Here is a 25,083-nt window from a genome sequence, read left to right on the forward strand (position 1 = left end):
GTTAGCTTTAAGGGCAGCTCCATCCTATGAAGATTTTGTGGCCGCGTTAACCGTAAAGGAAGGTGACCACCAGAAAGAAGCTTTCAGTATTGGGATGCAGAGGGACCTCAGCCTTTACCTCCCTGCCATGGAGAAGCAGCTGGCCATACTGGACACTTTATATGAGGTCCACGGGCTGGAATCTGATGAGGTGGTATGATGGCTGCTGGGCAGCACCTCCTAACTTCAGGGAATAAGTGCTAAAGTGTTTTGTTGCCCTACTTAATTTCCAGCAACAGCCTCAACCCTCTCCAACCCCTTCACCTGGGGGGATGGACAGGAGGTGGCAAAACCCAGTGCTTTTATAATTTTTAAAATGCATATGTGTTTTGTTTAAAGATCAAGGTGCTATATATTTCAGTTCAGCAGGCCTACTGGAAACCAAATGATAAGCTGCTGTAGACTTGAACAGCAAGTTATAAGAGCAGATTTAACAAACAAATTTGCTGTTATTGTGTATTGTATTGTTTTTATATTTTAGTCTAATGGGCCACCCAAACCCAAGCTGAAAATCAGCAAATTCCATATTAAGTACCATAATTCATAGCCAGTGTTTCAGCCAACTTAGACTAGACATTTGGAGGTAGTATAAGCTGCTTTGTTGAAGCTGTGTAGAGTTTGCTGTTCCTAGATGTTCTTCAGTGGACCCTCTTCACTGCAACTCTGTCAGTGATAAGGGCCTGTGTAGTAAAGATGTTCAGGGCATTCACATGACCATGCAATTGTGGGAGGCGAAGAAGACGTGGACAGGAGTCCCATCCTTGCTGACAGGCATGAAACCGTTGCTCTGAGAAGATTAATGGTGTGCCCTAGCCCCAAGTTGGAGGGGAGAATATGAGAGAGGTGGGACAGGTCATTTGAGATGACACCTCCCAACTGCCTACCATTTACCAGCATGTTCCCCATGCATTATCTCAATTGGACATCACAAGTAATGATACCCAGAGGGATTATTACTCCACTTCAAAAGCAAGGTTTAGAAGTTGAGGGATCTGTTCACAGTCACATAGTTTTTAAGCAGAGGAGCCAGATAATTTCCAAGTGTGACCTGGACTGCCTCTGCATCAAAGTCATATGGAGTGCTTGTTCAAACAGCAGATTCCCAGGCCTTATTTTGGCCTAAAGAACCAGAGTCTAGGTGGTGGGACATAGGAATCTGCATTTCAGTAAACTTTACACGTGATTCTTCTGCACACAGTATTGAAGAGCAACTAGATTAAATTCTAGTTTACAAAATTACCAGTTTTCTTCAAGAACTAAATGATATGTCCTTTTTTTTTTTTTCAAAGAGGATAAGGCTGCTATTTAAATAAAATAGCTAAATGGAGAGTGAGAAGTGGAGCAGGTTCATTCAGCAGCATTCTTAATTGAGCCAGCATTGACACCCAGCCAGCAGGCCTTTGCATTGCATTCGGGGACCATGACTCTGAATCTGCTTACCAATCAATCTCGGTTTAATCACCAAAAGTGCAGAGCAGGCAAAATGCAGCTGTTTATCAATCTCAAAAGCTTTGGGACAGTGTCATAGTTGAAAGATGAGACTTAAGAAAACAGTTTCTTAAACTTCTTAAAACTTAAGAAACATTGTTTCATAAAACAATATTGAGTGGGCATTCTTCTGCACAGTGTGATGCTCCAACCCTGGCCCTAGTCTCAGTAGACCATGCTGCCTCGAGTGTGCATCGGAGAGAAGCCATGGGTACCTTCCCCATTAGAGGCTACTTCCTTCTAGTAACAGGAAGGGAAGTTCCAGCATGAGGTAGTTATCCAGGGTAGAAGGTCCTTTGAGGGGCTTGGTTGAATTGAGAGCATCATCTCTAGATGATGCTGTTCCTGCTGCAGATCTCTAGGATGGAGAGAATTCTCTCTTTAGTCAGAGAAGTTTATGTAGGGAGGGGTATTGGTTTTGCCTTTGTGTGTCTTTAAACAAATGAACATTTATTTAGCTCAGATTAATTAGGTATTTTGCCCACATAAAGACTTCTGGAAAATACTTAAACTTGAAAAATCAACATCACATGTTTTAAAGCTAGGGAGAAAGAAGGGGGGTATTAAAATGATGTTGATTATTTTGTATTTTGCCAAGGTGTGTGTGTGTTATTTCCCTCCCACTCTCATGAGCAGTGAGTATAGATCTCCTTCTCTGATTAGTATGAATATGATGGCAGGACTCGGGGATAGTCCCTGCCCTTGACATAGCCCCCTAAAACGGAAAAAGAAAAAGCCAGTTTTTGCTTGTACTTTGAATGAAGATGTTTTAGGCATTGTACCATTTAGCGGGGATGATACCAGGTGGTTGTTAGAATTGTGCAGTGTGATCATTCTAAACAGCTGCTGGTGCTCCCTGTCACCTCAGGTGAACTCTGTGGTCTCTTGGAGAGGTAGCACTCTGAAAATACCTCAGGTTTGCCACCGCAACTCTGAATACACACAAAAGGAAAGCTGCTCAGCATGGCCATTTTGCATTTGTATAGGTAGTGACTAGATGTACACAACTTAATTTGCTGGGAATGAGGGGCTTAATATTATCTGAGATCATTGAGAACCCAGATCAGACAGAATAGCTTGAATAAGTTACATTTTCCAATTACCCTTTTTCCACATCTGTAGAAAGAGGGTAATATTTTTTAATAGGTATTTTCCCCACTGGAGCATATTACGTTTGCCTAAGATGTATAAAAGTTTGTTTAAGATGTGTAAAAGTTTGCTTAAGGAACTGAGGATCCTTAAATAAAAATATTAGAAATTAGAAATTGAACCTAATACTAAACAGTAAATTCAGCTTAACCTGAACCTTGGCATAGTCAGAGCTTCCTCCTACATCTAAAGTATTTGCTCTCTGTTTTAGTTAAAGTCATAATTTGCGCTGATGTGTAATCACTTTCCAAGAAGAGGGCAATGAGAAAAGATATTTAAAGCTTTCTCTCCATAGCCCTCCAAGACTTCTGGGACAACTAAATTTACTTTCACCATTACTGTGAGAGGAGGTGAGAAAACTCTAGTATTTTGTTGGCAGAGTAATCACTTTGTTCTCATCGCTCAAAGCATTTTTAGGATTATTTTTCTAGCGTAACCTTTAGAGAGAACTGGAAGAAAAAGGAAATTGGTCTACTAGGTATTGTAGACACAAATAAGTAACATTAGGCTAACCCCTTATGAGACATTTCCACACAATTTCATCGTGCCTGTACTTTTCTCTATGGTAAAAGCCAGTGTTTACACTTTGTAGGGATCAGGGTGTATTTGTTGAATTAAACAAAATATTTTCAATGATGGCAAGTCTCTTGACTTTTGAAAGCAAGTCAGATTCCTTATAGCTAATGCTGGTGAAAAATGTTAAATTGGAGAGATCCCTTTTGGGAGTGAAACCAAATTGTAACTATGAGGAGAAGATGGTCTTCTCATTGGCTCTTGATGTAGCTCTGAAGGGAGTTCCAGAAGAGGAGCTCTCACAGAATGTTGAGCCTGTGGGCCCAAGACATTGACTTCGAAGGGTAGTTCTCATTAGGATGTATAAGTAGTGGCTTGAGGCACCTTCTTATCATTTTTTGCATGTTATTCTGATTATTAAACTTCCCCCAATGTCATATTCCATGATGAGGGATTTCTGAACTCCATAGTCCAGCGTTGTTGCTTTTCTCTCTTCTTTGCTACTGAAAATTGCCAGCAGTACCGCCATCAGCACACCAAATCTACCCCCACTTATGTTTGTTCTGCCCCATTTCCCAGGAGCAGCTTCTAGCACATATGTAGAGTATCTGGCACCACCTTAGCCCAGGGCTGCGTGCCTGATCAGTGGGGATTCTGTTCCCCCACCCCCCAGACTGCAAGAGCTTCTTAAGAAGGAGCCCATATTCCCATTTGTAGCTGGAAAGCGGGTGAATGACATGACATGGGGCACCTAGGAAAGATGATTATTAGAGGAGTGCAGCGGAAAAAAATTTGCACTCTTCTCCTTTTGGTTATTACTTTCCAAATATATTAACAAAAAGTTGATGCTTTTAACTTTATATTTTCAGAAAAGTGTTTTTAATTAAAAATATGTGATAGGGACCAAATAAGTAAAGTACATTTTTCTCCACTAAATTTGAAGTGAGGGAAAGAGGAGCCAAAGTAAGAGATTTTTTTTTAAGGAAACTTAATCTGATTGTGAAAATCATACATATGGAGAAACATCAGATCAGGCAATAGAGTCAGAGGGTCATGAGCAATAGACGATGATGCGAGGCATTTGGGGAGCTTCCTGGAGGAAAATTAAGTTTTTTTCCTAGCAAACTACCATGTCCTACAAGAACTTGGTTATATAATGGTGCGTCTCTGAATCACTGATTAAAACCAGTTGCTTCTGATTTTAGTCACAGGTTTTACAAGTATTCAGCTCTCCCTCATGTTTCATTTCTTTTTTTAAGATAATCTATCAACCTTTTTTAAATTTTAAAATTTTTAGATGTAGAGTTTATAAGTAAAATATATTTTTAGCCATTGTTCTGTTAGCTGAGCTGATGTGTTTGGTCTTAGAGGGCCTGACTTCAGATACTCTTTGTGATCTTGTAAGGGCTCTACACAAACTTCATTATGTATGGTAAATTTGTATTCTTATGGATTGTATATAGAATGCTTTCGTTAGAAGTACATTCTACTTCTGTATGTCCCTTTGTAATCCGCAGTTGCTTACTCAGGGGTTTCATAGTCATTTCATAAAAAATAATTCACTAGCTGTCTAATGGTATTTTAAGACTGTTTATCTGTATCACAACGTCATTAGGAGTTCTTTCAACAATTCCATAAATATACTGTTTACTAGACCTTCCCTGTAAATGTTCCCAATTCCCATCCTGTCTCAGACAGTCAATAGTCCTGTGTACAGTGACTATTTGCATGATTTCTCATTGCACTGCTGCATTCAGGCACTCCAGGGCATGATTAAACAGTCATTAACAGTGCCTCTCTGGTACAGTTGATGCATGCATTGATCTTTCTTCTCTGCTGTTTTTATATAGCCTTTAATTAAAAGGAAAAAAATACCACTACTCTGCAATGCAAAAGTCTTCAAAATTCTTTGTTTCCTGTATTAATCACTTCTGTTCCAGAGTGAACAAATGTTTTCAGCTAAGCTATGTGAGAATGTAAGAATAATATCCTGCTTGTTCTAAATAGTTCATATATTTAAAGTGTGGTCAGTATTTCCTCCCTGTACCTTACAAACAGAAACCACCCTGGGATGGTTGATACCCCTTACAAAGTCGATCTTACCCACACAGACTCCTGTGTATGCGTGTCTGTTTATAGGTGTATATGGAGTCAGTGTTGATAGGAAGGATGCTCTAGAAGTACTTCTGTTGTTTCCTAGAAGGCTATGAGCCAGTTCCATGGCATGTTTAATGTATAATTCCCATGTATCATGAGAATTTCACTAGAATGTCATTAAACAGCCCAACTACCTCATGTGAAATTGGCTGTGGACAATCTGTGTCAGATGAGAAATGTGTTCAGATAAATTTAATCTGGTTAATAGACTTAACAAATTAATGTCTACATAAAGAAGAAACATGATAGACCAGATGCCAAAGGCTAAAATGTACATAGATTTCCTTGGATTAATTTTTAAGTCACTGTTTAATTCCATGCCTAGTATTCTTATGAATGTTTGTGGTTTCATAGATTTATGCACTTTGAATATCTGTCACGTGCAGTGTTAATGTTACCTGTTCTTGTCTCTCAGCATTTTGAATGAGCATCATAATCAGAGTAGAAGGCAAGTTAAACTATAAAAGTGTCAAGTGGCTTGTTAACTTCTTAATTTAATGGACCTTTACTTAGAATATAATATGTTGGAGCCTCTTGGGACCAACCGATGAGCGACAGTTTCATGTTTAGATTTGTATTGTTTCTCTGTCCAAGTCCTTATTCTCTATCTTGTGGGGAGGGGTGACAGGGGAGGGTTTTACTTTTTTTGCAAAAATGTTTGAAAATATCTGTCAGATTTTATATTCGTTAGTTATAATAAACTTATTTTTAAAGTATTAAGTTCTTAAAGGTTTTTGTGTGGTTTTCTGCCTAATTGAATATGTCAATAAAAAGTCTCGTTTATGGAACACACATGACTTGCTGGGCATCAGTCTAAGCCGTTTACAAATATAAGAACATTTCATCCTCCTAATAACTCCATGGGGCAGGTACTGTTGTTATCCTCAGGTTACAGCTGGGAAAACTGAGGCATATATTGAGGAAGCCCCTTGCCTAAGATCCCACAGCTAGGAGGAATAGAGCCAGGCTACAAACCCAGGCAACCAAACTCCAAAATCTTTTTCTTTTTCTTTTCTTTTTTTTTTTTTTTGAGGCAGTCTTGCTCTGTTGCCCAGGCTGGAGTGCAATGGCACAATCTCAGCTCGCTGTGACCTCCACTTCCTGGGTTCAAGGGATTCTCATGCCTCAGCCTCCTGAGTAGCTGGGATTACAGGCATGTGCTACCATGTCTGACTTTTAATTTTAGTAGAAATGGGGTTTCACCATGTTGCCCAGGCTGGTCTCGAACTTCTGGCCTCAAGTGATCCGCCCACCTCAGCCTCTCAAAGTGTTGGGATTACAACTTGAGCCACTGTGCCCAGCCCCAAGCTCCAAAATTTTTATGAAACTGTTTAAAACCTAAACAGAAGACCATTTTGAAGCATCAGACAGCCTCTGGAATGGCCTTGCCCTGGGTGTTTTAAGCATTCGAGAAAGGCTCGCTCCTTTCAGAGGTAGCTATGTTCTTTGGCTTGGTTTAATTCTGTTTTCAGAGACACTAGATGTAGAACAATTAGTAGATTAATTTGCTAAGCCTAATGTTTCAATGGCTGTGTGCTTAATTAGATGACATCTGTAGCAGACGCTTTTTTGTCTAAATCACTTGATGTCAAAGTAGTGTTGAACCTGTCAGGTTTTGCCTCTCACACACTTGTTTGTGCATATTAGGATACCTACGGATATGTATGACTGGCATTGGAGAGCTGTCCTGTCCACCCACGTCTCAGGGAATCTTCCCACTATTGCCCACTTGAGCCCTCTCCAGCCACCTCTTTAAACACAACAGCTAAGTCCGTTAGAATTGAGAGTGGGAGGGATTGAAAGAAGAGAGAAACAGGAGTGTTGAGTGGTAGGTGCTTGAGCAAAAGGGTCAAGTAGAGTTGGGACTGGGGTGGCTATGTTGTGCCATGTGCAAGAGAAGGAAGAAGAAGAAGCTGGTGGAGAGGAAGGATGGTGTAGGCACACTGAGAAGCACTGATGCAGAATCATGTAGTAGCCAGGGACACCAGCAAAGTTTCCTTGAAGGCTGGCTTCCCTTTCCTAGTTCCAGCTGTCTGGAGGCCCTTGTTCCTTGCCCTGAAGTTCCTCTTCTTGAGAAACCTGTACCTTTACAATACACTGCCTTGACCTTTTTACTTGCACTAATTTTAATGGGCCACTATCCCTTCAAACAATCACTGTGACGAGCTTATCTGTCATTGTTCCACACTGAATATAGGCAAATCATAAGCAAAACCCAAATGAGATATGTTGAGGAATCACCACCACCATCTGCCTCACTGGGTAAGAAAGGAAGTGCCTTTCAGACCTGAAGTCAGTCTGTATGGGCTCTGCTTATTCTAAGTTGTGAGCAGTACCCCACTGATCCCCAGGATCTTTCTCATAATGGCTTCTGATAAATCTAAAACATCAATACCGCTGGAGCAGGCTGTGTAAGGACCAGCTATCTACCTCTGGCCTCTCTGTGCCTAGGTGGAGGAGTGTGCTCAGATGGGAGGTATATGAAGGGAGTTCATTTCTGTTCTTCAGCTGTACCCTTTGGGGTGCTTGGACTGCTGTCCAGAGGGTGAACAGAGCTGGTTTCAGAAAAAGAATGTGTTTGGATGTCTGTCCCAACTTCCAGTGGGTAGAGGAGTACAGCTGCCTTGTGGTCATGAGGGTCCAGCAAAGGAGAACAGAGTGTGGCTGTGCATGCCACTTGCTATTACTCCAGAATCTGCAGGTACTGGTGCATTTTCTGTTCTACCATCACTCTATGATAACCTGGACACACCTGGAAGATCTGTGCTCATCTGTGCTGCAGTAGAGAAACTGAAAGAGCAAGAAGGAATAGAATGACCCTAGAGTTGATATTTTTATTTTTTTCTTTCACTCTTGTTGGTAGGTTAGAAGAGCTGCTCTTTTATGATATGAGCACATGTCCTGTGTGTGTCCACATGGATTGACACACACATCCTGCCACTGTCATTATTATTGTCATCCTCTCCAGAGGCACAAAATAGAGATAACCACCTTTGGAGCAGTGTGGTTCGGGTTGATGGAGAATTGATGAACGATGATGGTCTGACATCAGCACTGAGGACACAGATCACGTTTGGGATGATTTGCTGTGTGAATGCATTGTCCTCAGAGAACAAAGTTGTCGCATCTTTGCTGACACTTGTGTATGGCCAGTTTTAGGACCTTTTGCTTTGGCTTGAGAGTCCAGCTTGTTGGAAAGGTTTTTAGATATTGTGAAGTCAAATTCTGCTTCAGAGTCTTTTATGAGATCACCTTAGACAGTGAATTCCCTCATCCTCCCCTTCCCTTGATAATTGTGCTTCAGTGACCAACCCTCTTCCCCAGAGTTCTGTGGTTACTGGGGGAAATGTGATGATTCTCCACCTTGTTCTTAATTTAGACCTGGCTCTCTGCTCTCCTCCCTGCGGATAACCCTTCAATTATACTTCAGGCACAGGTCACTCATCTAGGCTGTGGTCTCAGAGCTCCAATCCAGACCCACCTGCCTACTGACCATCCCTTAGAGACCCTACCTTCACCTGAAACCCCAAAGCCAAACTTGGTTGCACCTACAGCTTTTCCATCCAAGTCAGTTGAGTCACCATTGTTCTAGTCTCTCAGGCAAGAAATTCAGACACTCTGAACTCTTTTCTCACTTCCTCTCTATACCTGCTGTGTCAGCAAGGCCTGCCTCAGCCTCCAAACTCCCAGTGCTGTGCACAGCTATGCTTGATCTCTGGATTCTCTGCTCTTCAACCTGTCATGGCCTTCCAAACCTGAAAATGCTCCCTGTGACTCTATGCCAGGCTTTAAGTCCCTTCACAAACTTGGTATGCCCTTTTCTCATCCTTATTCCTGGAAGCCCCTCAAAATCTTCCCAGACTCAACACATCTCTGCTATGGATTTTACCTCTAAACATTCCCTGCATTTCTAAATGATACTTTATGAATTACAACTTAAGGATGGGAAGTGTGACTCCAAGGTAACTGGACTAATTCTTTGGTGTTAGGTTCTGGTTATTGGTGTAGCCACCTCTCTCATTAAATCATGAACTTTACTTTCCTGTCAATGTGCCCCGCACCTGACAGTGCCTTCCTTGTCCGTCGTAGAATTCCAAAACTGTCCTAGGAGTTGGGCGTCACCACCAATGTGCTTTGTGATTCTTCCAGATGTGTTAGTTCTGTTAGCCAGCTAGATAAAAATATTTTTGAAGCAAAACCATACACTTCTATTCCCTCCTGCTCCCTTGGCTGCTCAGGAAATACTTTTTGAGTGCCTGACCACTCAGAGTATAAATAATTTATGTGTTTTTTTATATTTTGTCTTTGCTAATGCACATGCAAAATGTTTGTATTTTATAGGTGCTTATATATATCAAATTATGAACGATTAGAATGCAAGGTCCAGCTCATGGTTCTCACCCTGTTTGTGCATTAGAATCACGGGAAGGACTCAAAAAACAAGCAAATAAGAAAAAATATATGTATCACTTATATCTGGGCATCTCCCAGACCACTAAAATCAGGCTTAGGAATGTGGCCTGTCACTGATGTTAAAATCTCCCCAGTGATTCTAATTTGCAGCCCAGAGTGAGAACCCCCAGAGCTGCTGGTTTAGTCCTTTAAAATTGTAATGTGGGATCTTTTAGGATAAATATGGCCAGATCACAGCCCCTTCATCCCCTAAAGCTGAACATAAAGAACAACCAGAATAAATAAAAATTCAAAAAGTAAAACTCAGTTAAAAAAAATTCACTAGCACCCAGGCAATGGAAGGAGCCCAACCTTGTTTTTGTGTCTTAAACTTCAAAAGATGATAGTCAAACAAAAAGACCAGATTTTTCTGGTAAGAAAGAAGAGCTCCTAATCCCACCCACTAGAGGGGATTGGCAAGATGCAGAACACTCATTGAAATTTAGGGTTTTGGAAAGAAGTTAATTGGTGAATAGGGGCAGGATGAGTATCTTTATCTCTTCCTTATTTTGAGTGGGGGTGTTGTAGGGTGGGGTGGGGGTGGGTTGTGGGATGGAGTTTGCTGGGGAGAGATGGGTGAAACAGAGGACTGGAACTAGCTCATCCCTGAATTAAGAGACAAACCCACATTCCAAAGGCTGTGTCCCCCGTACATACAGTAGATATGTCTCCTCTCCATTCAGAATTCACTGTGGTGCAGGACTTAACGCAAGTATCAGAAGACAGAGCAGAGTCCAGTCCTCTAGTAAAAGCCTCTATACACAGCTCCTTCCTCCTCCATACAGACACAAAGACACGAACAGGCTGGGCTCATATTTGGCTGGTACACACTAATGTGGCTGTGCTGGTTATTAAAATATCAAAATACTTCCACACCACGATGGAAAGAATCACTTATCCAAGTGTCTCATGCTGTTCTGGCCACCCCAGCCCCTCTCACAAGAAGCCCGCCCCCCCACTCCAGACCACCCCCACAGACCAGCAACTACAGGAGTAACATGTGGCCCAGAGCTATGACCAACCTCTGTTCTGTCTGCTCAATGTCTGTGACATGTTGATGCTTAAATATTTTCAGTGTCATCCATTAGGAAAGTACATAGAACACAACCCTATAGGGGAAGCGAAATAGATGCCAAACAAGATGGGAAATATGTCAAGGAGAATACACTGACACTGTATGAAAGCAAATACCTGGTCTGAACAGAGCTGCTCACCTTAAACATGAGCAAATGTAAGGAAGATGGCCTGGCAACTGTGTGAGTATGCTACAGCCAGAAAGGGGATGGGGGTGGAGTGGGAAACAGGTGAAACCAATATGGAAAAAAAGCTAGTCCAAGAAACAAAAGTTCCCACAGGTGTGTTGTGCTCTCAGAGAACTTAGAAAACATGAACTCAATAAAACAAGCACTCAGGAGCCAGTGAAACAACAGAATGAGATAAAAAGGCAGATGACAGAGATAAGAAAACTTCCCTAAAATAATATAGAACAAATAAATATATTCGAAATAGCAAAAAACATGGTTGAAAATGGAATTGATAACAGAAGAAAAGGCTTGAAATGATGCAGTGAATGAAGAATTTTAAAAACAGGGATTCGAGTAATTCCTGAAAGGATAAATGTAGGAGTATCGAGATATTCTGACATAAGAATAATTGGTGACCAAAAATAAAAAGGAACTAAAAAAGTATCTGGAGATAAAATACAGAAGATTTTTCCTGAAATGAAGGAAGGAATCTTTAGATTAAAAGAGTGCACTATGTTGTAGGAAATCCAACAGAAAACACTTGACACCAAAACATACCCTGATGAAGATCCTGAACTTCAAGAATGAAGAAAGAATTCCTCACCATTCAGGCAGAAAAAGCAAGTCACCAAGGGACCTCAAACTTCCTTTCCACAAGATTCTGTGACGGGAAACAATGGGGGAGTATTTCCGAAGTTCTGAGTAGGAAAAAAGAATGACTCAAATGTATTATTGCCAACCAAGTCGTCAAATCTAATGTCAAGTTCTCTTAAGCAGGTAAGAACTCAGAACATAATACCTGAGTGCCTTCTTAAGGAAACCATTTGATAGGAAAGATGAACCAAATAACTCAATGATGGATGAGCTGGTAGAAAAAAAGCTGGTGGTGAACCAAGGTCAAACTGGAAATTATAGTCACAGTATAGATATAGATTATAAATATTACAAACCCTAAGATAGCTAATAAATTGGGAATGGGAGAAGGGAGGATATAAGAGCACTAATGCCCTCTTATTTTCATAGCAGAGACTTGATACTGTCTCAACTTTTTTCAAAAACACAATTTCTTAAATTTTTTGGTAATCTTTTAAATAAACAGATTTCTAAAAAGAAATACGTATTGTTTCAGTTCACTTTAGTTTCTTGTCTTAAATACGAGCCAATTAGCTGAATGCTATTTATTTAAAAATAAATATGATAAGAAATAAATTAAAAATAAATATGATTTTACGTTTATAAAAATTCCTCAGCCCGGCATGGTGGCTCACACCTGTAATCCCAGTGCTTTGGGAGGCCAAGGCAGGAGGATCGCTTGAGCCAAGGAGTTTGAGACCAGCTTGGGCAACAGAGCAAGACCCCTTCTCTACAAAAAAATCTTTAAAAATTAGCCAGGCGTGATGGTGCATGCCTGTAGTTCCAACTACTCAGGAGAGTGAGGTGGGAAGATCGCTTGAGCCCAGGAGTTCAAGGCTGCAGGCCACTGCCCTCCAGTCCGGGCAATACAGCAAGACCCTATCTCTAAATATATATTTCCTCTATCTCTCTATCTCTGTAGAGACAAATCAAGAATTATATTCACCTAAAGTGGATTACGATTATTTTTAGGTGGGTATTGATTTTGTTTTACTCTTTTTTTTTTTTGTACTTTACTATATTGCTTGACTTTTGTTTGATGCCTATGATATCTTTTTATTTTTTAATGGAGGATGGGAGGTGTTTTTCTAAAAACAAGGTTAAAAATCATTGTAGAGTGTGGTGGACCCCCGGCAGGTGCTGCTCCTTATAATGACATTTGCTTCATAACTCCTATCAAGGTTCTTTAAAATTTCTAGCTTTATCTCACTACATTTTTTTTTCGCTGCTAATTTTTCTCATAAGCTGCTATTCCTTTACCCACACGAAGCTATTGCTCATCCAAACATTCCATTTTATACAACTCATTAAGGATTGGGACATTCTTTTGGGGCTAAAGGGAAAGACTGAATGCCAGTATGATACCTAGGGACTTGCCCAGTACATCTGAAATAAATGGAAAATTAGGGAAAAAAAGCCATTTGGAGTGGTTGACAGTCATCTTACAAGAAGCCAGAAAGACTCTTAGCAACATGGGGATTTTGCACATGAATTGGCTGCAGTTCACCGAAGGAGCTGAAAGATTTCTTTCTTTGTGCTTCTGTGAGTTTGGAAATGAAATGTCAATCCTTTCTCTGCCCAAGTGAAATTGCTGGGCCATAGAGCATTAGTTCAGCATTAGCTTATGCTGATCAAACCCAGCCATCCAGAGATGGCAGATGAGAGAATGGAGCAGTAAACTTTATTCCACACACGTTTGTTTTAAGGACCATTCAGCCTTATGTTCATAGAAGCCCGTGGAAGCCCTGTATTCTCTTGTGGCATGTATGTGAGCAACTAAGGACCCTGTCTCTGTGTGTTACACAAGACTTTTATAAAATCCCAAATCCTCAACTTGATTTGTATGAAAAGATGATCACAGGATTGTGGAGCTGGAAGACTCCTTCGTTCATAGTGGGAGTCATAGTAACTATTGCAAAAGATTGTTATAAGGATCAAGTCGGGAATTGTGCACAGTGTCTAGCACCAGGCAAGAGCTACAAAAACGGTGGTGGTAATAATAGTCGTTGTTATTGTTTGAAAGGGAAGTATGGCTCCATCCTGCCTGGAGTTTACCTGGTGGAATAAGCCTTTTCTTATTTGTTCCACTTGTCCCTGCCCTCACAGAAGATTCACTGCTGCCCCTAGTCTCCCCACTTTGCACTGTGTGTCACGGCACCTTCAAGTAGAAGACCCTCATCTAGTCATGTCTGTATGTGAATGTGGCACTACCATTTCCTTGCCTGAGCCCCGGAGCCAGCTGCAGTGCTCCACAGCTGTATCCCAGTTGGAGGATTCCAGAAGAATGGCTGAGCATTAGGATGCACCTGACACTCTCCATAGGACCCCATTCTCCATACTCCGGAGGACATCTGTTTTTCTGCCTTCATCTCCTCCCCTTATTCGGAGCACACTCTTATTCCTTTGAATGAACTGCCTTCTCCACTCTGAGCTCTGGTTGGGCCGCCGGTCACAGTCCCCAGGCCTCTGGCCACAGCGTGGGCATATGATCCAGAATAGGCCCATCATGGGACTTCCCTGGGACTATGTATTTAGAGACTGGGAGAGACGATCCCTTTCCCCTAGGGTTAAAGTGAGATCGAGAGAAAGTGAGGATAGAGATACGACATTTAGTCCTGAATCAAGTCATGCCTGGGGCCACCTCCATGCTTGCTTTTTCTGGTTATGTAAGTCAGTAAGTCCCACTTTATTTAAAGTTCATTGGAATTAGGATTCTATCACTTGAAACCAAAAGAAGCCTGATAAGTTTTCAAATAAGTCCAAGATATGCCTTTGGTGAGGTTACCAGATTTTCTCTCAATGCTTTCCTCCTCTGCATAACATATGGGCACGTTATTTTACAGTGGGGTTAACAGAAGAAAATTGAGAAACATGCCTAAACTGGGGCCAACTGGGGTCCAATTTCAGTTATAACTATTTGGTCTGCTGCAGCATCAGGACACTGGCTGTTAGCTTTTACTTCTTTCCTAAATAACAATAATAATTATGAATACTTATGAACTACCAACCACTGTGTGAAAAACTTCCTATAGGTTCTCACTTAACCCTGAGAGTAGCTGTGAAGTGGACACTATTATTAACCCCATTTATAGGTGAGAAGAGGAAATGTTGCTTGTCTTGCTCAAGGTGGGTGAGAAAGCACATGAGTGGTAGGACTGTGAGCCCAGACAGCCTGCCTCTAAGCCCACAGCCTTACCACTATGTGGCTATGTCCTGTGATGTAAGACAGAGCGGAGGCTGGAATCAGACCACGGGTCAAATCCCAGCACTGCCACACCCTCACCATGGGATTTTGAGCATGTTAGTTAACATCTCTGGATTCCCTTTCTCCTCTGTAAACTGAGATAAAGAGATTGCACAACCCTGCTCATAAGATTCTTGCAAGGACTAAATGAGGCAGGGGATGTAAATCGCCTGGCATGTTGCCTTACTCTCCTGGACAGGCAAAAGCTTGGTGTTTCCATCATGACCCACTTCTGAGTCTCCTAAGCTCAGCTGCCTGCCGCATGCATGGGTACTCAGCTCCAAGCAGCTCCTCTGCTTCCTTCTCATCTTCCTGGGTGTGAGCATGGAAACCACGTTGGACTTGGAATGGTCAGATTGGACTCTGGTCTGCCTTTCAGTTTACAAACTGGGTCACCTTGGACAAATCCTTTAACCCCTTGATCTTTTGTTTCCTAGTCAGTGAGACTGAGATGGTGTTGTTATGAGGATTAGCTGAGATGACACATTGCTAGCATATAGCACTGTGCCTGGCACATGGCTAGTACTAGTTAAGTTATGATGGAATGGTTAGGGGACATATGTACCTGTTTCTGACAGATAGCTAATTCCTTTTCAGCTCACTCTAACTGTACCTAGACACAAAGGAAATTACATTATCCGAAGGGACATCTTTAGACTGTTCATAAATGTCATCACTCATACTTAATGTCTTTTTCTTTTAAGTTCCATTTAGTTCTTTGATTTAATCTGCTAAATATTAGGGATTGGTAGGAGAGCAAGTTTCTACTTTTTTTTTTTTTTTCCAGACAGAGTCTTGCTCTTGTTGCCCAGGCTGGAGTGTAGTGGCGCAATCTCGGCTCACTGCAACCTCCACCTCTTGGGTTCAAGCAATTCTTCTGCCTCAGCCTCCTGAGTAGCTAGGATTATAGGCGCCTGCCACCACGCCCAGCTAATTTTTTGTATTTTTAATACAGCCAGGGTTTCATCACATTGGCCAGGCTGGTCTCGAACTCCTTTTTTTTTTAAATTTTATTATTATTATACTTCAAGTTTTAGGAAACATGGGCACAACTTGCAGGTTTGTTACATATGTATACATGTGCCATGTTGGTGTGCTGCACCCATTAACTCATTTAGCATTAGGTCATTTAGCATTAGGTATATCTCCTAATGCTATACCTCCCCCCTCCCCCCACCCCACAACAGGCCCCAGTGTGTGATGTTCCCCTTCCTGTGTCCATGTGTTCTCATTGTTCAATTCCCACCTATAAGTGAGAACATGAGGTGTTTGGTTTTTTGTCCTCGTGATAATTTGCTGAGAATGGTGGTTTCCAGCTTCATCCACGTCCCTACAAAGTACATGAATTCATCATTTTTTATGGCTGCATAGTATTCCATGGTGTATATGTGCCACATTTTCTTAATCCAGTCTATCATTGTTGGACATTTGGGTTGGTTCCAAGTCTTTGCTATTGTGAATAGCGCTACAATAAACATACGTGTGCATGTGTCTTTATAGCAGCATGATTTATAATCCTTTGGGTATATACTCAGTAATGGGATGGCTGGGTCAAATGGTATTTCTAGTTCTAGATCCCTGAGGAATCACCACACTGACTTCCACAATGGTTGAACTAGTTTACAGTCCCACCAACAGTGTAAAAGTGTTCCATTTCTCCACATCCTCTCCAGCACCTGTTGTTTCCTGACTTTTTAAAGATCGCCATGCTAACTGGTGTGAGATGGTATCTCATTGTGGTTTTGATTTGCATTTCTCTGATGGCCAGTGATGATGAGCATTTTTTCATGTGTTTTTTGGCTACATAAATGTCTTCTTTTGGGAAGTGTCTGTTCATATCCTTCACCCACTTTTTAATGGGGTTGTTTGTTTTTTTCTTGTAAATTTGTTTGAGTTCATTGTAGATTCTGGATATTAGCCCTTTATCAGATGAGTAGGTTGCAAAAATTTTCTCCCATTCTGTAGGTTGCCTGTTCACTCTGATGGTAGTTTCTTTGCTGCGCAGAAGCTCTTTAGTTTAATTAGATCCCATTTGTCAATTTTGGCTTTTGTTGCCATTGCTTTTGGTGTTTTAGACATGAAGTCATGGCCCATGCCTATGTCCTGAATGGTATTGCCTAGGTTTTCTTCTAGGGTTTTTATGGTTTTAGGTCTAACATGTAAATCTTTAATCCATCTTGAATTAATTTTTGTATAAGGTGTAAGGAAGGGATCCAGTTTCAGCTTTCTACATATGGCTAGCCAGTTTTCCCAGCACCATTTATTAAATAGGGAATCGTTTCCCCATTTCTTGTTTTTGTCAGGTTTGTCAAAGATCATATAGTTGTAGATATGTGGCATTATTTCTGAGGGCTCTGTACTGTTTCATTGATCTATATCTCTGTTTTGGTACCAGTACCATGCTGTTTTGGTTACTGTAGCCTTGTAGTATAGTTTGAAGTCAGGTAGCGTGATGCCTCCAGCTTTGTTTTTTTGGCTTAGGATTGACTTGGCAATGCGGGCTCTTTTTTGGTTCCATGTGAAGTCTAAAGTAGTTTTTTCCAATTTTGTGAAGAAAGTCATTGGTAGCTTGATGGGGATGGCATTTAATCTATAAATTACCTTGGGCAGTATGGCCATTTTCACGATATTGATTCTTCCTACCCATGAGCATGGAATGTTCTTCCATTCGTTTGTATCCTCTTTTATTTCCTTGAGCAGTGGTTTGTGGTTCTCCTTGAAGAGGTCCTTCACATCCCTTGTAAGTTGGATTCCTAGGTATTTTATTCTCTTTGAAGCAATTGTGAATGGGAGTTCACCATGATTTGGCTCTCTGTTTGTCTGTTATTGATGTATAAGAATGCTTGGGATTTTTGCACATTGATTTTGTATCCTGAGACTTTGCTGAAGTTGCTTATCAGCTTAAGGAGATTTTGGGCTGAGACGATGGGGTTTTCTAGATATACAATCATGTCATCTGCAAACAGGGACAATTTGACTTCCTCTTTTCCTAATTGAATGCCCTTTATTTCCTTCTCCTGCCTGATTGCCCTGGCCAGAACTTCCAACACTACGTTGAATAGGAGTGGTGAGAGAGGGCATCTTTGTCTCTTTTGATCTTTGTTGGTTTAAAGTCTGTTTTATCTGAGACTAGGATTGCAACCCCTGCCTTTTTTTGTTTTCCATTTGCTTGGTAGATCTTCCTCCATCCCTTTATTTTGAGCCTGTGTGTCTCTGCATGTGAGATGGGTTTCCTGAATACAGCACACTGATGGGTCTTGACTCTTTATCCAATTTACCAGTCTGTGTCTTTTAATTGGAGCATTTAGCCCATTTACACTTAAGGTCAATATTGTTATGTGTGAATTTGATCCTGTCATTATGATGTTAGCTGGTTATTTTGCTCGTTAGTTGATGCAGTTTCTTCCTAGCCTTAATGGTCTTTACAGTTTGGCATGTTGGTACCGGTGGCTGGTACCAGTTGTTCCTTTCCATGTTTAGTGCTTCCTTCAGGAGCTCTTTTAGGGCAGGCCTGGTGGTGACAAAATCTCTCAGCATTTGCTTGTCTGTAAAGTATTTTATTTCTCCTTCACTTATGAATCTTAGTTTGGCTGGATATGAAATTCTGGGTTGAAAATTCTTTTCTTTAAGAATGTTGAATATCGGCCCCCACTCTCTTCTGGCTTGTAGAGTTACTGCCGAGAGATCAGCTGTTAGTCTGATGAACTTCCCTTTGTGGGTATCCCGATCTTTCTCTCTGGCTGCCCTTAACATTTTTTCCTTCATTTCAACTTTGGTGAATCTGATAATTATGTGTCTTGGAATTGCTCTTCTTGAGGAGTCTCTTTGTGGCGTTCTCTGTATTTCCTGAATTTGAATGTTGGCCTGCCTTGCTAGATTGGGGAAGTTCTCCTAGATAATATCCTGCAGAGTGTTTTCCAGCTTGGTTCCATTCTCCCCATCACTTTCAGGTACACCAATCAGACGTAGATTTGGTCTTTTTACATAGTCCCATATTTCTTGGAGGCTTTGTTCGTTTCTTTTTATTCTTTTTTCTCTAACCTTCTCTTCTCGCTTCATTTCATTCATTTCGTCTTCCATTGCTGATACCCTTTCTTCCAGTTGATCACGTTGGCTACTGAGGCTTGTGCATTCGTCACATAGTTCTCGTGCCGTGGTTTTCAGCTCCATCAGGTCCTTTAAGGACTTCTCTGCATTGATTATTCTAGTTAGCCGTTTGTCTAATTTTTTTGCAAGGTTTTAACTTCTTTGCCATTGGTTCGAACTTCTTCCTTTAGCTTGGAGTAGTTTGATCTTCTGAAGCATTCTTCTCTCAACTCGTCAAAGTCATTCTCTGTCCAGCTTTGTTCCGTTGCTGGTGAGGAGCTGCGTTCCTTTGGAGGAGGAGAGGCGCTCTGACTTTTAGAGTTTCTGGTTTTTCTGCTCTGTTTTTTCCCCATCTTTGTGGTTTTATCTACCTTTGGTCTTTGATGATGGTGACGTACAGATGGATTTTTGGTGTGGATGTCCTTTCTGTTTGTTAGTTTTCCTTCTAACAGTCAGGACCCTCAGCTGCAGGTCTGTTGGAGTTTGCTGGAGGTCCACTCCAGACCCTGTTTGCCTGGGTATCAGCAGCGGTGGCTGCAGAACTGCAGATATTGGTGAACCGCAAACGCTGCTGCCTGATCGTTCCTCTGGAAGTTTTGTCTCAGAGGAGTACCCGGCCATGTGAGGTGTCAGTCTGCCCCTACTGGGGAGTGCCTCCCAGTTAGGCTACTCGGGGGTCAGGGACCCACTTGAGGAGGCAGTCTGCCTGTTCTCAGATCTCCAGCTGCGTGCTGGGAGAACCACTACTCTCTTCAAAGCTGTCAGACAGGGACATTTAAGTCTGCAGAGGTTACTGCTGCCTTTTGTTTGTCTGTGCCCTGCCCCCAGAGGTGGAGCCTACAGAGGCAGGCAGGCCTCCTTGAGCTGTGGTGGGCTCCACCCAGTTCGAGCTTCCCGGCTGCTTTGTTTACCTAATCAAACAACTAACTCGGCAATGGCAGGTGCCCGTCCCCCAGCCTCGCTGCCGCCTTGCAGTTTGATCTCAGACTGCTGTGCTAGCAATGAGCGAGGCTCCGTGGGCGTAGGACCCTCCAAGCCAGGTGCGGGATATAATCTCCTGTTGTGCCGTTTGTTAAACCCGTTGGAAAAGCGCAGTATTAGGGTGGGAGTGACCCGATTTTCCAGGTGCCATCTGTCACCCCTTTCTTTGACTAGGAAAGGGAATTCCTTGACCCTTGCGCTTCCTGGGTGATGCGATGTTGCGCCCTGCTTTGGCTCACGCATGGTGCGCTGCACCCACTGTCCGGCACTCCCCAGTGAGATAAACCCGGTACCTCAGTTGGAAATGCAGAAATCACCCGTCTTCTGCGTCGCTCACGCTGGGAGCTGTAGACTGGAGCTGTTCCTATTCGGCCATCTTGGCTCCACCTCAACCTGGTCTCGAACTCCTGACCTCAGGTGATCCACCTGCCTCAGCCTCCCAAAGTTCTGGGATTACAGGTGTGAGCCACCGTGCCCAGCCTTTTCTTTCTTTTTACAATTTCTTACAAGTTTTTATTTTTATAAAGTACTTAAATATCTCAAATTTCAGAAAACAAGATATTTAATCACACATCCAAACAGAGAATTCTCTAATATAGCCCCTTATCAATTCCCTGCATTGTAAGACAGTTCTTTCAGTAGAAGTGTCTCCACACCAAGCAAGAAACAAAACACCACAAACAATGAATACCTGCGGTATCCAAGTCACCAATTAGATGCCTTGCAGACCCAGAAATACATCAGAAACACTCTGCTCTCCAGGAATGTGCAGTGTAGTAATGGACATAAGACATACTCTTGAAAAACTATGCTATAAAACAGAATGTAATGCAGGTTCTCTAAGAAGTATAAACAAATGCATTAGGAACCCAGAGTGCGGAGTATGTCCTTGTAGGTGAAGGCGAGGCACAAAGTCTCCCTTGAGGTGGCAGTGAAGTTCATGTATAATGAATGTTGTGTTCCTTGGCACTCTTTTGGCTGCAAATGACCAAAGACCTAAGTAATGCTGTTAACCAGCTCAGCCTCATCGACTTTTGTAGAGCACTACATCCAGGGAGAATACACATTCTTTTCAAGTACATGTGGAATATACACCAAGTTATACCATATGCTGGACCGTAAAACAAATTTATAATCATTGATCCAAAGAGGAATTCTGGGAAATGGAGAGTGGCAGCAGGATAATTCTTCACTCTCTCTGAATTCCCACATGAAATAGAACAACTAGATAACATAACAAAAAATTCATGAACAGCTTGTATAACAAAGCTAGTTATTCATTTCCTAAGGGAATAGCAAATCACCACCAACCAGGTCGCTTAAAACAACAGAAATGTATCCTCTCATAGTTCTGGAGACTGGAAGTCCAAAACTAAGGTGTTGGCAAGTCCATCTCCCTCTGAAGGCTTTAGGGAGGGATCCTTCCTTACCTCTTCCTAGCTTCCGGTGGTTGTCGGCAATCCTAGCATTCTTTGGCTGTAGCAGCATCACTCCAATCTCTGCCTCTATCTTTATGTGTCTGTTGTCTTCATGTGTCTCCAAATCTCTCTCTCCTCATAAGGAGACCTGTCATTGGATTTAGAGCCCACTCTAATTCAGTATGACCCCATCTTGACTATATCCGTAAAGATCCTATTTCCAAATAAGGTCACATTCACAGGTACCAGAGATTAGGATTTAAATATATCTTTTGGGACTAGGCACGGTGGCTCACACCTGTAATCCCAGTACTTTGGGAGGCCAAGGAGGGTGGATCACTTGAGGCCAGGAGTTCAAGACCAGCCTGGCCAACATGGTGAAACCCTGTCTCTACTAAAATTACAAAAAATTAGCCAGGTATGGTGGTGTACACCTGTGGTCCCAGCTACTCAGGAAGCCGAGGCAAGAGAATCACTTGAACCTAGGAGGTGGAGGTTGCAGGGAGCAAGATCACACCACTGCACTCCAACCTGGGCAACAGAGCGAGACTGTGTCTCAAAAAAATTAATTAATTAATTAATTAAATAAATCTTATAGAGGAACACAATTCAAATAATAACACTAGATATCATTACACCTAAGAATATGATAATATTGTCTCCCCAAGATTAAGGAACAAGGTAAGGATATCTGTTGTCACCATAACCACTTCTATTCATTATTGAAGTTGAGGTCATAGCCAGAGCAGTAACTCAAGAAAAGACAATAAAAGGTATACAGATTGAAAAGGAAGAAATAAAAACTACTTGCAAATGATGTATACAAATAAACCTGAGGATTCTGCAAAGACTATTTAAGCTAATAGCTAAATGTAGGATGTTTGCAAGATGGATCAATGTAGAAAAGTAAATTGCAGCTGGGCATGGTGGCTCATGCCTGTAATCCAAACACTTTAGGAGGCCAGGGTGGGCAGATCACCTGAGGTCAGGAGTTCAACACCAGCCTGGCCAACATGGTGAAACCCCGTCTCTACTAAAAATACAAAAATTAGCTGGGTGTGGTGGTACACACCTGTAGTCACAGCTACTCGGGAGGCTAAGGCAGAAGAATGGCTTGAACCTGGGAGGCAGAGATTGCAGTGAGCCGAGATTGCACTCCAGCCTGGGCAACAGAGTGAGACTTGGGGGAAAAAAAAAAAAGAAGAAAGAAAGAAAAGAAAAGTAAATGCATTTCTACATACCAACAAAAACAATTAGAAAATGAAATTTGAAAGACAATGCTGTTTAAGACAGAATAAAAGTCTGTTTTAGTCTGTTGAGGCTGCTGTAATAAAATACCATAGACCGGGTAGCTTATGAACAACGGGAGTTTATTTCTCACAGTTGTGGTGGCTGGGAAGTCTGAGATCGTGGTGCCAGCATGGTGCCAGAAACCGTGGTCGGGTTCTGGTGAGGGCTCTCTTCCAGGTTGCAGACAGCCACCTTCTTGCTGTGTCCTCACATGGAGGAAGGAGCAAACAAGCTCTCAGGGGCCTCTTTTATAAGCACAGCAGTCCCATTCATGAGAGTCCTGCCTTCATGATCTAAGCACCTCCCAAAGGCCCCACCTCCTGATACCATCACCTTAGGCGCTAGGATTTCAACATATGAATTTGGGGAGAACACAGAGATTCAGACCATAGCAAAATTTGTAATCAGGGGAAAATTTAATAAAATATGTGCAAAATCTTTACACACTGAAAACTATAAAAACATTCTGCGACAAGTTAGAGAAGACCTAAAGAAAAGAGCTATACCACATTCATGGGTTAAAAGATCTGATATTGGTAAGATGTCAGTTCTCAAATAGATCTCAAGGTTCAGTGCAATCCCAATCTAAATACCAGCAGGTAGATATGACACTAAAAGCATGAACAACAAAAGAAAATAAATAAATAAATTGTACTTTATCAAATTAAAAAACTTTTGTGCATCAAAGGACATTGTCAAAGAAATGAGAAGATAACCTACAGAATGAGAGAAAGTATTTGCAAATCATACATCTGATAAGGGACTGGTATCTAGAATCTACAAAGAATTCTTATAACTCAGCAACAGGAAAACAAACAACCCAATTTAAAAATAGGCAAAGGACTTGAATAGACATTTCTCTAAAGAAGACATACAGATGGCCAATAAGCACATGAAAAGGTGCTCAACATAGTAGGGAAATACAAATTAGAACAACAAGGAGATACCATTTCATACCTACCAGCATGGCTATAATAGTAATTTTTAAAATGCAGAAAATGAATATTGGTGAGGATGTGGAGAAATTGAATGTCTTGTCCATTGCTGGAAAATGGTGCAACTGCTGTGGAAGCACTTTAACAGTTCCTGAAAAAGGTAAACATAGAATTACGTTATGATCCAGCAATTCCACTCCTAGGTATAGACTCGAGGAAATTAAAAGCAGAGACTTGAGGAGATACTTGTATGCCAATATCCATTGCAGCATTATTCACAGTAGCCAGAAATGGGAAACAACCCAAGGGCCTATCAGCAGATGAATGAGTAAACAAAATGTGGTATATACAAACAACGGGATATTATTTGGCCATAGGAAAGGAATCAGGATCTGAAACATGCTGATATGGATGAATCTTGGAAATATTATGTGAAGTGAAATAAGCCAGACACAAAAGGACAAATATTGTATGACTCCACTTATATGAAATATCTAGAATAGGCAAATTCATACAGACAGGAAGCAAATCAGAGATTACCAGAGGGCACCCAGGTGTGGTGGCTCACACTTTAATCCCAGCACTTTGGGAGGCATAGGTGCAAGGATGGCTTGAGGCCAAGGCCCGGAGTTCCAGACCAGTCAGGGCAAACACAGGGCAAATGCAAAACAAAAGCCCTTCCCTACAAAAAATATTTTTTAAGTTAGCTGGATGTGGCGGCTCATGCCTGTAGTCCCAGCTATTCAGGAGGCTGAGGCAGAGGATTGCCTGAGCCCAGGAGGTGGAGGCTACAGTGAGATTTGATTGGCCCTCTGCACTTCAGCCTGAGTGATAGTGCAAGACCTTGTCTTTAAAAAAAAGAAAGAGAGAGAGAGAGATTACCAGGTGCTGGAGGGAGGAAGAATGGGGAATTATCGTATAATGTTTACAGAATTTCTGTTTCGAATAACAAAAATGTTCCAGAACAAAAATGTTCCAGATATTGTGCATAAGAAATGATGCACAACAATGTGAATATTTTATGTTATGTATGTTTTGCCATAATTTAAAAAAATTAATAATGTAATATACCAAAAGTTATTGCATGAATTGTGCACTTTGAATTGTATACTTGAATTGTACACTTTAAATGTATGAATTGTGTGATATGTGAATTATATCTCAATAAAGTTGTTCTAAAAAATGCCAGCAATGTTTTTGTAGAAATTGGTGTGCTAATCCTAAAATGTATGTAGAAATGCAAAGGACCTAGAATAACCAGAATAATCTTGAAAATTAGCAAAGTTGGGAGACATATATTAGTGAATTGCAAGACTTTCTCGAAAGCTGTAGTAATGAAGATGGTATGTATTGGTGTAAAGGTCCATGGGACGAGAAAGTTCAGAAATCAGGCCCCACTTATATAGTCAGTTGATTTTTGATCAAGATGCCAAAGCAATTCAATGGTGAAAAGA

The 25,083-nt window shown here is 41.5% G+C and overlaps 1 protein-coding gene across 11 annotated transcripts in view, besides 2 other annotated features; it reads left to right on the top strand.

Annotated features, from left to right (window-relative positions):
- Nucleotides 1–25,083, top strand: part of PLEKHA8 (pleckstrin homology domain containing A8) — a 102,072-nt gene that overhangs the window by 50,177 nt on the left and 26,812 nt on the right. For 3 of the 11 annotated variants that reach the window (NM_001197026.2, XM_011515596.3, XM_017012746.2), the window contains one exon: nt 2–6,062. The exons of 6 other annotated variants lie outside the window; for them this stretch is intronic. In NM_001197026.2, the coding sequence (NP_001183955.1) occupies nt 2–199 (198 nt within the window). In that variant the 3' untranslated portion in view covers nt 200–6,062. Of the gene's footprint in view, nt 1; nt 6,063–11,564; nt 24,818–25,083 lie in introns of those variants that run through there. 2 more of the 11 variants (XM_011515592.4, NM_032639.4) reach the window with 2 other exon arrangements.
- Nucleotides 2,232–2,758: an enhancer, noted in NCBI's record as "NANOG hESC enhancer chr7:30120436-30120962 (GRCh37/hg19 assembly coordinates)". NCBI's record gives its function as "activates a minimal SCP1, AML or CMV promoter by ChIP-STARR-seq in primed H9 embryonic stem cells {active_cell/tissue: H9 hESC(primed)}" and the evidence as "EXISTENCE:reporter gene assay evidence [ECO:0000049][PMID:30033119]".
- Nucleotides 8,883–9,042: an enhancer, noted in NCBI's record as "active region_25805". NCBI's record gives its function as "activates an Ori minimal core promoter by ATAC-STARR-seq in GM12878 lymphoblastoid cells {active_cell/tissue: GM12878}" and the evidence as "EXISTENCE:reporter gene assay evidence [ECO:0000049][PMID:35858748]".

This window comes from Homo sapiens, chromosome 7 (assembly GCF_000001405.40).
Source record: "Homo sapiens chromosome 7, GRCh38.p14 Primary Assembly".
NCBI classification, from domain to species: Eukaryota; Metazoa; Chordata; class Mammalia; order Primates; family Hominidae; genus Homo; species Homo sapiens.